Source organism: Homo sapiens, chromosome 5 (assembly GCF_000001405.40).
Source record: "Homo sapiens chromosome 5, GRCh38.p14 Primary Assembly".
NCBI lineage: Eukaryota > Metazoa > Chordata > Mammalia > Primates > Hominidae > Homo > Homo sapiens.
Genome location: NC_000005.10, coordinates 66,884,360 through 66,900,417, shown reverse-complemented (window position 1 = coordinate 66,900,417; position 16,058 = coordinate 66,884,360). Strand labels below are relative to the sequence as shown.

The following is a 16,058-nucleotide window of genomic DNA, read 5'->3' as shown; positions in this document are numbered from 1 at the left end:
CTAATAATGGAAAGTTTAACTGATTCAAAGTCTCCAATTCAGATTCAAAAGTACATAATTTACTCCATGTAAAATCCATAGTATAAAGAAAAATTATGGATTTCAGAACATAAAGAACACTAATTCTTGATTCAAATCAATGTACTCTGTCTCCTAACCAAATAATGTTTTTGCTTAATTATATAACAGCATTTTAAAAATTAAGATTCTCCGAGGAATAAATATACATTTAGGTTTGCAATGCCCATATGGAACAAACCCTGGAAATTATGAAATCATTACTACTGTTTGACTTTTATAAATAAATTCAGTTTTTTGTTTTCTTCAGTTGATTATCATTCATTTTATAATTGCCACTAATGAATCAGAGAAGAATCATACTATAAACTATATATTAATAAAAAGAAAACAAGGAAACAAAATACTACTACTTACAAACTTCCTCTTCTGGGGAGACTCAGCTCCTTCTGCAAAAGAAAAAAAAACCATATATAAGCAATGCTGCATTAACCTTAGATTACTAGGATACCAAATGGATAACGTAGAATGTATCATCCTTCATTACGCTTGATTTGGCATTTCTTATACTGAAAACATTTTAATGTCATAATTTTATGCTGGATCCCTTCTTACACGGTTCTCTTTACACACTGTGTTTAAGGTACAAACACAGCTTATCTGAATTCCAGAGCAGAAAAACCATCAATCTTCCCAAAGCAACTACAGTAAAATACTGAGTTGAGTTACACGGCCCTACAACTGAGCATACGGAAAATCTGAAGAAGCAAAGAACTTATCCAAACAGGATTTAACTATAAGAAGTAGGAGACATTTTGCAGGATTATAATTAAATGAAAGGTGCAATGTAAAGGACAATTAAATCAAACTATTTGCCCTCAACAGAAATATATTCATGCAAACATTATGCATACCAAATATTGTACTTCCTATTTTTAAAATAATAATGGAAAAGATTTCCTTTTGGTATTATTTCTCAAAACATCCATTTATTCCTTGGGATATTTAAAAGTAGCTTAATCAACTTCTAAAAGGTAATCAGACAACCACAACAATTATTAGAGTGCTTCATAGTTTTAAAAGGGTGCCTTCACACTTATCTCAATTTTAAGATTCTTACCTACCTAATCATCAAGAGGCTGTGGAAAACTAAAAAACCACCCAAGAAAACAAGCCAACCAAAGAAATAAACAAAAATAGATTCAGAAATACCTCTTATCCACTAATGAAGTTTTCAAAGCTCAAGAATAATTACTTGCTGTCAATTATTAAAGAACAGGAAGCAATGAGTCGTTTGGCTATTTAAACTCAAAATGAAGCGCATTATGACTAAATTTGGTTATTCATGCCCATAATTCTCATTTATTTTTCTGCCTTTCAGGTGCTTGAGCACTATCCTTTGAAAGGTATTTCCCCATCAGCTTCAAACTCACCTTTCCTGTCTCTTATTTTTATTGAATATTTCAATGTTTGTCATGGACAGCAGGCTCAGCTATCACTTTTCCACAGCACAACTTACTCCAGCACAGCTTACAGAAAGTGGCAGTGAGAGCATCAGACCAGAGGGGAGGAGAGCTCTGTGGCTGCTGCTTTAAACACAGCAGGACTTACTTATTAACTGGCAAATATATTTCCATACAGAGTTACAGCAATCATAACTGTTCAAAAGCAAGAAAAACAATCAGCAATTTTAGGAATGAAGTGTCGTCTTCTTTCACCCAATAGCAAAACCTTTTCTTTTCAAGGGCTCTAGGGTTCAGTGGTAAAGTGCTTTTTGTTTTGTTTTGCTTTGCTTTGCTTTTTTCTTTAATCCTTGATTAGCTCCAAGAAATTATAGTGTTTGCTGAACTTGGCTCCCTGATTCTGAAACATAAATATACCTTCATTTACTAAAACCTCTAATGACAAGAGAAAAGTCTCTGACCAAGACAGTTTTCCTTGGGAACCGAAACATAAATAGAAAACCAATGAGTAATTTTCTATACATGGATCTTTGGTTACCATAAGCATTGAGAAATCAGTGTTGTATTCAGGTTAAAGAAAACAAAAAGAGAGAACTTCCTAGAAGTAATAGCTCACCACACTGTATCTTTTATTTTTTAATTTTTATTTATTTTTAGGATGAGGTCTCACTACATTGCCCAAGCTGATCTCAAACTCCTGGGTTCAAGCATCCTCTTGCCTCAGCCTCCTGAGTAGCTGAGATTACAAAATACACCACACTGTACCAGACTCAGGCCATTTCTCCTAGAAAGGCATTGATACTAGTGCAGAGCAAAGGCCTAGAGACCAAATGAATAATACTGCTCTGTCCAATAAGCTGATCTGACAGCCGCATAAAAGGTACCTGAGGTGTTATCATTAATAACAACAAAATAATAAATCAGATGTTATTTCAACTATATATGCAAATAGATCACTCAGAAGATATAAGAGGAAAGGGACCAAACGAATGACCCAAATAGTTCCATCAATCATATTCCACCAAATAACCTGAGCATAAACTGGCTGCTTTGCTCTGAGAAAAAGCTGCTGAAACAGCAAGATAAGGGATAAAAACCAACTCTGTTTTTAATCAGAAATCTTTCCAGTAGGTCTAGAATTATGAGTTCTAAACAAGGAGAAAGGTTACAGTGGGTAACCCAGCACTGCTGCTCCACGGGATGGCAGCCGAGATTCCAAGATGAGGAGCAAAGGACATTTAATAGGCCACTGTCAACTGACCTGAAGCTACCACGCTAACCAAGCTGTAGGAGCTAATCCACCTGATGGCTTGAATGTCAGGCTCAGGACTGGAAACTCAATTTGGTAGCAAATTGGAATCAGATGTGATGGTAATAAAGTGAGAGAAATGAATGTGCTGTGGCCAAGACCTTGTGAACAATAGCTGCAAAAGTCTGCAAATACCAGGAGGGCTAAGCGGTTGCAGCCTGCGCGGGGAGCAGCTCCTGCCCTAATGGATGAGGGCCACATGCTGATAAATCTGCACCTGTCAGACGTCAATGAACGGCATCAAGTCATTTTATCGCCAAAGTCCCTGCAGTACTTCGTGTATGTGTCCTCATTTTATTTTCTTAATGTCAGGATAAGGTCACTAACACATACTTAGATAATTAGATAAGACGTGGTATTGGTCTGGGTCATAAACCCAAGCTTGTGCTTGACATATGTGGAGTGTGTGTTAAAAATTTACTGTCACGTAAGAATTGGAGGAGGAAAGAAAAAGGGAAAAAAGCAAAAAACAGCAAGAAGTATCCATCTGAACTAAACAATATGCTAATTGTTGACACTGGATTAAAGAAATTCTTAAGATTAAAAATTTCTAGATTTTCATTGATATTGATGACTCAATGACATTTAACATTTTTTAGAGTTGCTGTTTATCATTACTTGCTTGATATTGTATCCTCCCCCCAGACTTTTAAGTGTTAACTAGCAAATATTTGCATTAAAGATAAAGATTAAATAAAATTAATCTTGTCTGAGAATCCTGTTGTTTTTGAGATCTCTCAATATACCTGAGGTTACCAAAAGATCCCTCCAATCCAGGAAGAAAACTCATGGAGAGTCTGAGAAGAAAGAAGCGTAAATGATCCTGCTCCTTTCACCCAGCCATCCTTAGCTTCAAAAAGAGAAGGCAACTATCTCATTCATGAAGACAGGGGAGAAAACTGTAATGTTTTACATGTACAAGCAACTGCCACAGTGGTAATTTTAAAACTAATTTTTGGTATTTAACAGCTATTCATAGACAAACAAAACAATATGGCTATACATGCCGCACGTGTTTAGAGAATCTCTGAACGCTTCTTTTCTAACTAAGGGTAAATTTATGATTTAAAAGAGGACATTTACAGAAGCCCAAATAATACATGTAGATACTCCCTTCTTCAAATGGTAGAGCTTAAATCTCCTCTCTTTGAGAGTGGGCTGGGACCTAGTGACTCACTTCCAAATAATAGAATAGAAAAAGGGAACAATAGCAACATTATAGTAGGGAAACCCACAGATACCACTGTAACTGAGTGATCAAGGTTAACATCATCAGTGGTAAGTCACGCTAACGTCATGCTGCTATCCTCTGATATGATGTGATGAGAAGAACACTTCATGCCTGTGGTATTATCTCTAAAATCCAGAACCCCAGTCTAATCGTGAAAAAGCCTCAGGTGAACCCAAATGGAGGGACCTTCTAAAAACATCTGACCCGTGCTCCTTAAAGCTGTCAAGGCTGTGAAAAAAAAGAATAAATTGACTAACTGTCACAGATGGGAGAAGACTAAGGGTGGCTAAAGGCAATAAAGAATCCTGAATAAATGAAAAATCTTGAATTGGATTCTCAATCAGAAAAAGGACATTAGTGGAAAACTTGGTGATATCTAAATAAAGTTTGTACTTTAGATGATAACAATGTACCAATGTTAAAGTCATGATTTTGACAAATGTATTAAGGTTATATATGATGCCAACATTTTGAGGGACTGGAAGAAGGGTATACAGTAATTTTCTGAGCTGTATTGTAAATGTTCTATAAATTTTAAAATTATTCCAAAATGTGAAAGAAAGTGTATCAAAAGGGGGAGACAGGGAGAAGGGAAGACTGATGTGGGGCTGAAGAACAGAAGAAATGAACACATAAATATCTAAATATTCTAAGCTTACTTTAAGGTAATATTTAATATCAATTTTTTAGGAAGCTATAGAAATACTGTAGGTGAGAGAGATTCTAGCTAGGACCAGCAATGAAGATGGTAAGGAGTAGTCAGATTTCAGGTATGTTTTCATAAGATTTACACAGAAACTGGATGTGGAGCGTGAAAGAGAAAGCAAGGAGTCATAAGTTTTTGGCCTGAGCAAATGGAGTTTGATGGAAAAACAGTTCAGCTTTTGACATGCTACATTCAAGATGTCTGTCTGTAAGAATTCCAAGTAGAAGATTCCAAACAGGCAACTAGACAAACGAATCTGGGTGCAAGAAAAAGGTTAAGGCTGGAAGTAGATTTTGGAGTCATTAACACTAAGATGGTATGTAAAGCCATGGGACTTTACAGGAGATAAGTGATAGAAAAAGGAAAACAGATACACCTGGTTACAAAGCCACAGGGACTTCGCCATTTAAAATAAAGAAGAAGGGAGGATTGTGCTATACACTTTTAACTGACCTGTTGCTATACCCAGCAGCTGGGGTTCTTGAAAGCAACAGAAATTGAATGAGACTGACAAGTAAACAATCAATGTATGGATGGCTACTCGCACCCCTGAAGGCAATAGGATGGTTGGGCAGACGACGTCAGAAAGTGGGCAGGAACCAAAAAATCAAACCCAGAAAGTATGACCACACCCAGGGAACAGCCCAGTTAGGACACCTCTGCAGCTGAACACTGAGTGGGAGCTCAGCCTCCAGGAAGAATCTCTAACTGCCCCCACATACCTTCACTTCATCTCTCCTCACAGGTGTCCTGTGAGGGTTACATGATCACACCTGGGTCTCTGCCCCAGCTTCCAAGTGGGCAGGAAAAAGGAATATTGGCTCCCTCACTAGTATAGTGGGAGGTAGGGCCAAGTCTACCAAGATCCACACTTTGGGAGTTCCTCCAAAAAACAAAGGGAATTTGGAAGTTGAGCAACTTGCCTTCTGCACCACCACTCCCAAACCCCACATAGAAACAGAGTGGCAATGTCCAGTACACACCATTCCCTCACCATTTTCCTGACACCAATGAATTTCAAGTTCATGCACTTCCCCATCATCATCTTTCTTTCATTAGTCATTGGTGGCCTCATCCTATGACTGAGTTACTGCAAGTACTCTGCACTAACAATTAATTTAGGAAAAGAGTTCAAAGAAGCCAAGATGTGTAAGGCAGTATATCAGGTGCTTTTAGGGATACATGAGGAAAAACAAAACACATTTAAAAGCTAGCTGGGGCAACATACATACACGCATATAAAACAAAAGAGTTATCACCAGGTGCAAGATTATGCAGTATTACTTGAATGTGTAAATGCTAACAGAGGAGAGAAAATAAAAAGGAATGAGATAATTCAGCTCAAGCAGTGATTCTGAAGCCTGGCAACACATTAATGTCACCCAGGGAGTTTTTAAAAATACTAACGCCTGAGCCCCACCCCTAGAGATCTAGAGAGAAAGTGGTTTGTGTATGTTGTTTATTAGAGGTTGGCACTTTTAAGTCCCCCTAAGGACTATTGGTTTGCATAAACCATTTGCCTTTGGATTGTTTTCCTCTTTAGGGAATATTAATTTTCTAGGCTGTCATTACAGAGGTAAAGTTTCAGGTTTTTAGATATTTCCTTTGCAAGTGGGAAGCAGTGTGAGGCAAGGAAAGGTACTCAAAATGGAGTTCTCACTACTTGACAAAGCTTAAAATTAGCTGGGTGTACAGGCTCATCCAGGGATAGGATCTCCTAAAGAAACGCTTTGGGTGCCATTTTTCTGGTCTGCATTTCTGAGAGTCACTTGTAAAGGCAGAAGCAGAGGACAAAAAAGTTCATACCATAGAACCAGATCTTACACAGGGCTTGGCTGTAAATCATCAGAAGGCAAAAATGGTCTACATTCTAACAACAATTGAAAAATCCAGTAAGTTGCTCATAAATACATGCTTTCCTAAATGAAGACAGTAGTCAAGCTGGAAAACCAGTAGGGAGATCCCTATAGAAATGCCTGAACAGTCAAACCACACAGCCTGTAAAATAACAGTAAAATCCTTGTGGGAAATGTGAGATGGATGGAGAATCCTAAATTATCTTTCTCTTTTTACAGATTTTATTTAATTTTCTTTTTGTATCTATAATCATAATGCACTTTCATATATTTATTTGTGCTAGTCAAGTTAAGCAAAATAAACCAGCCAGGCACAGTGGCTCATGCCTATAATCTCTCAGGATTTTGGGAGGCCGAGACGTGTGGATCACTTGAGGTCAGGAGTTCGAGACCAGCCTGGCCAAAACGGTGAAACCCGTCTCTACCAAAAAAAAGACACACACACACACACAAAAAAAAAAATTAGCTGGGCGTGGTGGCACGTGCCTGTGGTCCCAGCTACTCAGGAGGCTGAGGCAGGAGAATCGCTTGAACCCAGAAGGCGGAGGTTGCAGTGAGCCAAGATGGCACCACAGCACTCCAGCCTGGGCTAAAGAGCAAGACTCTGTCTTAAAAAAACAACATCAAAAACAAAACAAAACAAAACAAAAACAAAATAAACCACAAAAGGCTAAAACAAAATGCTTGCTGGGTTTATATGTAAATTTTATTTGATCAAAACCACAACACTCACTTTCTTTGAAAAATAAAGAAATTAGCTACCTTATTCCTTTCTTTCCAAGTTGGCTTTTTCTGCCATAAAGCTAAATGAACAAGACTGTGGTATCAGTTCTCATAAGCCCTTTATACAGACAAAGTCTCCGAGTCATGATATGACTGTCTAGTGTGGTTTATTAAGATTTTATCATAAACTGCGTCTATAAGCTTCATCACAAAATCAGCTGGCTGCCTGGACAGGACACACAAGTCTTCCCATGGAAAGCCCAGAGGAGATCAGCAATTGACCAGAGTTGCAAAGCCATGAGATAGTGGAATCAAATGAACCTATGTCATCCAGTTCCAATTTTTTCCCCTATACTCCACCACGGCAATGTCAGAGAGTGGGAGACAGTGGTGATGTGAGCAACTGAAAGGAGAGGTTTGAATAAATACACGAGCAGGGAGGGCTGGTACTGATAATAAAGAGGGCACTCTTTCCCCTAACGAGGAAGAAAGGAACAGGTGAAAACAGGCACTTTTCAAAGATAAGCAAAGTAAAACTGAAGCAATTCACTTGAAGTTCTGTAATTTCAGTAATACAGAAGGCAAAAGTCTTCTACCAAGGGCAAAGGCAAGGGCACATGTGGGGATTAAAGCCAACAAAATGGGTTTCCTTTATTCAATCACATACTTTTTAGTAAAGGTGGATATGGCTGGTGCTGTGCCAGACACTGGGGAGAAAGGACTTTACTCACTGTAAAATACAGTGTGAAAAGGCCTGGAATAGAGGTCTTTTCAAAGTATGCAGTAATACAAAAGGGAGGAGGGTGATCAGTTTCTCTGAGGAGGGTCAGGACTGTTTCTTCCCCAATGTTTCTTGTTATTCATGCTAACAAAATACAGTGGAACTGATACTACCTTCAATCTCAAGGATAAGCTCCAATTAAACTAATGACAAAACTCACTGCTTTCATCAAAGTAATTGGTTTAAAGATGACATGTGACTCAACCTGAGCAAATGCAAAATGATGCATAATGATGCATAAGATGCAAAATGATGTTTGCTCAGGGCTTCTGGGAAAGAACTTCCTCCCTTGTCCGAGAGAGCTAACGAGAAAGAAGTAGCATTAAACCTACAAAACTAATGGCAGCCACAAGAATAGGTGTCACAGGTAGCAGACAAGAAAGCCTGGTAGAACCTGGGTCTTGGGTGAAATCTCTGAAACAATACATCTACCCTTGCGTGTATTTGGACTTCTCTGGTACATGAGCCAATCGAGTCTCTTTATTGTTTAAACCAGTTTAACTTGTGTTTTCTAGTCTTTGCAATTCAAAAATTCCTAAGTGACACAATACTTGAGCCTGGTCTTTCTTTTGCAATGTCTGGGAATTAGCCTGGCAGCCTTGGGAGTAGGTGAGAAAGGGGAATTCCAGAAGAGAGAACAGACGTAGTCAGGTAGGGTGGAGTGAAACAGAACACACTCAGGAAACAACATGGCTGGAACAGAGATCAGGAAGGAAAAATCAGCAGGACAGGAGTATGGAGGCAGGGACAGGGCCACATCATAGAAGGGTTTTGGAAGTGGCTGCCTTTATCTTATAGGGAATGGTGAGCTCATGGAACATTTTAAAGAGGGGAATAAGATGGCCTAATCAACATGTTAAAAAAGATTACTCTGGCATTAGGGTGTCACATGGCTCTGGGAGGGCAACATGGGAGAGAAGTTAGGACACTTCTTTAATTATCCAGGAAGCATGGCTGAGGGCCAGGAACAAGGAAGAGGCAGTGAGGAGGAGGAGGAGGGGCAGAGTCAGGAGAGAAATGTGTGTACAGGATCCACAGGAGTTGAGAGGAAATGCTTAACTCCTGGGCTGATTTAGAATAGTTGTGGTGGAGCTCAGGACAGGGTACCATTCAGAGATGAGGAGAAAAGACTGTCTAAAAGCACTGAGGGCCTTTCGGAAGTTAAGCAAAATGCAAATCTGAAAGTGGATGAAAAGATGGCAAACGATTTAAGTTACACCAGCGAGTCCCTGATGAGCAGGAATATGAGACAAACTGTAAAATAAAATCCCAGATTTTGCTTAGATGAAAAGTTAAACATCATTCATGACAACCACCTTTTCCACTTTAAATTTTTTACACAAATAGTGGGAACTGTCTTTCTTTACTAAGCTCATCTACCTTCACTACCTTAATAATGGCATCTCACATTTACTGCACAGTGACATACATTATCTTATTTAAACTTCACTATTATTCTCATTTTAGAGATGAGAGAACTGAGGCACACACAGGCTAAGTAACTCACACAAGGTCATAGAGCTGGTAGAAGGCTTAGCTTGTCTTTGAATCCACATCTGCCCAAGTCCAGAGTATGTTAATTATTTTTCATCACCAAGTAATGACTTGATACTTTTGCACCACAGACCCCTCCTGTAGGCTATCAGGCTGCATTCATAGTTGGTAACACACTGTCAATTACTCTTAGGAGAGACACAACACAGATCTTGGCAACTCTTTCTAAGCAAATTTCACACTTTTTAGAGACTCTGATTTTATGTGAACCAAAGCCCTGTGAATATGTTACTTTTAACACAGACCTTTTAAAGCAGAAGAAGCGTAACAAGTCAAATAATCAGCTAACCTCAAGTAAACGGACAAATGAAACAAGCTTCCTTTCTAGTCAATTATTATGGGTTTTGATGCTTCCTAACACATTATACCCTTGATGTCAAAATCGAGCTTGAGAATCAGACATTTGTACACATATTGTCTTTCAAGTCAGTATGACCTAGGAGGAATATGTCTCCTAAGTCAAAGTTTACATGCTTCTCTGCAGGGTTTTGCTGAGTAGTAGCCAACAGTTACATGAATAACAGCTCTAGTTTATTGTTTATTATATACTAACTGAAGTGCATTTATTATATCAAGGTTAATAGCTTCCAGCCCACAGTCATATTGTACTTTGTGTGCTCACTTTGTTCTCAAAGAACAAAAGAACTCTCTCTTTCAAGCAAAAGTTTCTGCGTCGTTTTTAAAATTAAAGAAACTAGTTTTGATCAAATTAGAGAAGGCACAGTCCTTCATAAAAAAAAGAAGCTAAAATATAAAACTCATATTAGATCAATTGAACTCATAGCTTAAAACAATCCTTATTTAAGTCAATTGTATGTTTCATAGTGATTAAACAAATAGGATCAGGATTCAGACATACCCATATTCTAATCCAAGCCAATGCCAGGAAGCATCCTTCATAAACTTTAACTTCCCTAAGATTCAATTTCCAAAATTACAAAATGAAAATAATACAGCTTATCTTATGGGGTGTTGAGAAGATTAATGCTAACACATGTCCTGCATGTGGCACAGCTCCCAAACCTAAGAGCACCCTTCGTGTTAGCTATGACTATTTAAGTGCACTGCTTGAATTAGAAGAAGGAATCTAGGGCACAACTACAGAGCTACGGTAAAGAGACAGCACCGACTCAATAAAAGAGCAAGGGTATGTGACCCACACATCTTCTCCACCTCTAAATACTGAACCTGGGCAAAGGGCTGTGAATACATTTGAAAATTCGAAGCAAATTAGACTTCAGTGAAATCACACACCCTGCTATTAATCAGTAAGAAAATTACTTTAGCAGAAGGAGATCAAACACCAATGCTAGCTACATATTTAGAATTTTAATTGCCTTTAGGATAGTGCAAATTTAGAGATCCTTCAGGATCTCTATAAAATTAAAGTCATTGTGGACAACTTTTGTGATTTCCTTTTTTTCCTAGAATGATTTATGAAGGCTCTTGATAAATATGCGTATCAGCCCTGCCACTTAACTATGTTTCTTGTTACTTGGGAAAGCCTGTGACCTACAGTGAGCTTAGATAAAAAGGCAACACCGCACAGCTGTGCCCCACAAGGCTCCACAATTTTTTCAGTTCTTCCATCCATTACCAGCAAATTACAGTAAATTCGAAGTATTGATCTGCACAACCCTATATGGGAAGAAAGTTACCATCGACTTTTATTGCTTATTGTTGGGTCCAATTCCCTAGAATCAATAAAAGCTACAATGTTCATAAGCTTCTAAAAAGCTAGTTAATATAGTGGATATAAGACACCTTTTAGAATCACTATAAATCTATAGGATTCTTCAACGGAACAGTGGCAAACATCTTCAATGTTCAAAAGCTTTATTTGATTTTAGAGTCTTCTCATTATCCAGGAAAATGCCCTGGGAAAGAAGTGAATATCAATGATGTGGAATAAAAACTCAGCAACTAGAAAGAACCCTGCTTAACAGATTTCTACTTTCACTTTTCAGTTCACTTGCATTTCCACACCAACCTCACTGTCCAATCCACAGCCAATCATTAAGAATTGTGTCTCTCACATAGATTTAAGATGAGTTTTCTTGACAGGGCTTTCCAGGACCCATCAGGGGACGAGTTTGCTAATAAATGTACATTTCAACTGCCCCTAATTTGAAGAATCAATATTCTTTTATGAACCAATTTTTTAAAATCAGATAATAATTCAAGTGTTCTATTAAAATTACAGACAACCTTAATACCAAAAGAAAAAGGCTTTTTATAGAACCAGGAGACAGAATTGGATGAGACTATTTGAAAAGTGATACTGAATTTACTCTGCTGAGATTAATCATTTTTATTTACTACAGACACCTTGTGGTTTATCTAGCAGTCCCTATTCTGAAAGCCTATTTTAGTGTAGAAATTTACTGGCAAATCAGCTCAAGGGACCTCTTGAACTGCTATATGAAGCTAATACCCACAAGTCTACTTTCTTCTGGCCATTCCTCTCCATCTAAATGCAAAAACAACACTTAAAATATACATATAAAATGTATGAGCACGATGGAAGATTAATGACACACATATTCAAATAATCAATAATGTAAACTTAAGCCTCTAATGGTACCGAAATTTATTGTAAAGAGGTCACAGAATAAACAATTAGCTTATAGAAGATATATATCACTTAATAAGTAAAGATTCTATTTGTTACAGGGTACAGTTTTTTTAAAGTATTTTCTCCAATGTACTATTTTATTTTTATTTTTTTTTTTAGTAGAGACGGGGTTTCACCATGTTAGCCAGGATGGTCTCGATCTCCTGACCTTGTGATCTGCCCGCCTCGGCCTCCCAAAGTGCTGGGATTACAGGCGTGAGCCACCGCGCCCAGCCCAATGTACTATTTTAAATAACATCATCTGGAAGTATGCAGGAATTGAGAACTTCGAGAATGAAGACCATGGGTTAAGGTAAGATTCTCTGCTTCCTATTTCACACCCTCCCCTACCCATCACCACTGTGAAAACTAGTACAGCTGTGGCTGCCATTGCAGTGTTAAAAATCAACTTTATTCTTGAAAGGGACATTTTCTCACACAGGATTTCATGTAAGCCTTACCACTATCCTGCAACTATAGGAAGAATGTTCAGTATTTTTTCAGATGGGGAAATTGAGTATTAGGAAAGTTATGTCACGATTTGCCCAAGGTCAGGGTCCTCATATTAAAAACAGACAAGCAAAGACAAAAGTAGCCAGGGCCCTTGATGATGCTGTTTCCATATGGCGCCAGCCCTGGACATTCTACCAACAAATATTTTTATATGAGAAAGATAAATCTCTATTTATTTAACCTACTATTAGTTGGGTTTTCTGTTACCTGCAGCTAAGTACATTCCTAGCTAATGCTAGTACTAAATAAACTTTGCAAATTAGCTTTGGAACAGTGTATCCAAATACACACCAGACATCAACACAACTCTGGCATCATAAAGGCTGGTGAATGTTATCCAAAGAAAATGAACAAATGTTCTTAAATCAGGTTTAGGTTCTATGAGAAACAAAAGCCTTGAAAACATTGATTACAGATCTGTCAAGTTGTTTCCCTTTTTTAAAATATATTTGGGAGGGCTGCACAGTGTGTGTTAGTGACTTTGAAGTTAACCAAAGAGAGTCCAAGCTTAATGGCATCACATTTGTGACAGTTAATTAGCACAAAATATTTCAGTGCAGTGAGATTTTTGTTTTGTTTCGTTTTTGTTTTTGTTTTTAAAAAAAGCATCAAAAGCAATAAAAGGCTCTGGGGTTTTAATTGCTTCTTCCTAAAGACTAAATTTTGTTCTCACTACAAAGACAGAATCCTTCCCTCAAAGTCAAAATGATCCCCTGTGGTTTTTTGGGATCAGAAAGACTATACAACTGAGTGGACACTTATTTTTAAGTCTTAAGAAAATGTTCATAAGGTGGCCTCTTATTTTTGTTAACCAAAAAAATCAAGTCATTTCCAAGCAAGAAGACCCTACCCTAAATACATGTGAATGCAGCCATCTGCAACGTATGGATGAATTTAGGTGGTTTTCACTTTAGTTTCTATTACACTAACCAAGTTCTTCTTTTGAAAAATAAAAAGCATACTAGATCATATTGGATTGGCATGCTTAACGAATTACACAGGAAGTATGTGTTTTTACACAGAATTACACTGGACTGCCTTGGATACATCAAACTGATAGTTGATTCTGGACTCACTTTCTTCAGAATAAAAGTTTAAACACACACACACAGCAACAACAAAAACTGATGATATAAAATAGTTTTAACAAACGGGGTGGGGAGAATCGACGTTAGAACAAAGGAACTTTGAACAACACAAAGTTTTAGGCAGCCTATCATTTGAAGTTACACTATTTGGACAAGTTGATGAATTTGCACTAATACTTTTAAATGGTTCTGTCACTTTAAATGCTAGTTTGAAAAAGAAAACTGAATTACACTGAGTTGAATTGTGTATCAACCAGAAAAAAATAACAGTAGCTAAAGTAAAACAAACTCTTGAAGAATTGTGCCTCTTTTAAAGAAAGAATCTAAAAACAAAAGTCCTATACGCTAATTGAATTAAGTGGCCTACTCACCCCTACTTAGGACCATCAGGATGAAAATGTTGAGGTGGCAGAGCTTCAGGTACATGGCCTGGCAGAGTGGCTCAGAAGTCTGGTTTGGGAGTCTGCATGCCAAAGTGAGTGCCAGCCTCGACTTTCCATACGGCCTTGGGTAAACTACCTACCCTCTCTGTGGCTTTCTTGCATCGCTGGATATTGTAGATTTGAGAAGTCAGAGTTGTTGTGAGGACTAAATGAAATAATACATGTAAAGCATCTAGAAAAGTAACTGGCACACACTGAGCACTCTAATACTAGATTATTATTCTATCTTAAATATTCATGCACAAATCTGACACTGCAACCCTAAGGTTTTGCAATTTGGAAGTATAAATTACTCATCTACGTAATAGGTAGTTATGCTGATGTATCTTCAGCGCACCAAAGGACAGATGAAAACTAGTAATAAATTTAAATATTATCTAAGCCTACTTCAATGAAAACTTAGAGAATCTATTCTTAAATTTATTATTGATACTCTCAGGTGCTTTTAAATGAACTCTGCTACTTTAAAACTAAGCCAAAATGGATTACCTGGGCAATTGGAATTGCCATTTATCAAGCATGAAGTCCATTTCTTAATGAAAAACAAACTTCTTACAAAGCTGGGTTCCATTTTTATCCACCCACATGCTAAACATATTGGCATATGTTCTTAGCATCCCATAGCTGTATATTTTAAGCAGACCCTTTTTATCTTGCATAGCTTTCATTACATTACAGGAGAAAAAGTATTTCTTGCTATGACCAGGAACAATATGCTAGACTCTGCATTTTGTATTTTTCTCAGTCTACCTTTCATCAATGAATAAGTGTTGCTTTAACTAAAAAGTGTGGAAAATTCTGATTGAATTTTCCACTTCAAAGTACACAAAATCATTTCATCTAACATGCTGTGTGAGAAAATCTATGCCCCATTCTGACCTCCTGTTGCAGTCTATTTCAAGTATTGGTGATGCACCATATCACACTGCATGGCTGGTGAAGTAGAGTAAACATATTGACTGAGAAACGTTTTGAAAACCCCCTATTCCACATAGATCCCAGCTACTGTCAAAAATCACAAAAATGTTTGCATTCTGTCTGTGCAAGAGCATGACAGAGCTCTAGGAGAAATTCCCACAGTAAATAAAACCAGCTACTTGCATAACACTCCGTCGAAGCAGGACTGTGCAGGGCTTACTGCTAGGGGAAGGAGGGGCAAGATTCAGCCCAAATGATATGCCCAGAGGTATATGGGGGAAGACGTTATTAACTGTGCCCTTCCTTTCACCTATTTGCAAGGTTAAAATAAAATTTAGCAGAAGAGATTACCACTAGTGAGAAGGCACAACTCTGCCGGCGGCCAAGGAACACATGGAAAGAAAGGTAATATATTGATTGACCTTTCCTTGCAATTGCAGTCTAGGCGGCTAGCCGTCTTTTTTCATTTGAGGGGATATGATAGCTGACCTAGCTTATTTTCCTGGACTAACAAACTAGGACAGTCCTTGGACAAGTCAGGCAGCTGAGACCAGGATACCCCTACAGTAGCAGAGTATTACAACATTAACACTTACAATGAGGAGATCTAAGCAATAACGCGGTAATCAAACAGGCTTCTGGGTTAGAGCTTTTCCTTCCTCCAAATGCAAGCTTCCCGGGTCCTTCTCAGGAAACAGTGGAGAAGATGTTTTCCAGGTGTACAGAATGACAGTCCAATATGAATTATTCATACTCCCCAAAATATAGAGCTACAGAGTCCATTTAACTCAACATTTCCCCAAAGAGTGTTGTGCACTTTGTGAATGGCTTTATTTGACAA

General features: G+C 37.9%; 1 protein-coding gene across 16 annotated transcripts in view; it reads right to left on the bottom strand.

Annotated features, from left to right (window-relative positions):
* The window catches only part of MAST4 (microtubule associated serine/threonine kinase family member 4), a 573,201-nt gene that overhangs the window by 269,176 nt on the left and 287,967 nt on the right, over positions 1–16,058 (bottom strand). For all 16 annotated transcript variants that reach the window (XM_024446044.2, XM_047417157.1, XM_047417158.1 and 13 more), the window contains one exon: positions 436–467. In XM_024446044.2, the coding sequence (XP_024301812.1) occupies positions 436–467 (32 nt within the window). The remainder of the gene's footprint in view (positions 1–435; positions 468–16,058) is intronic.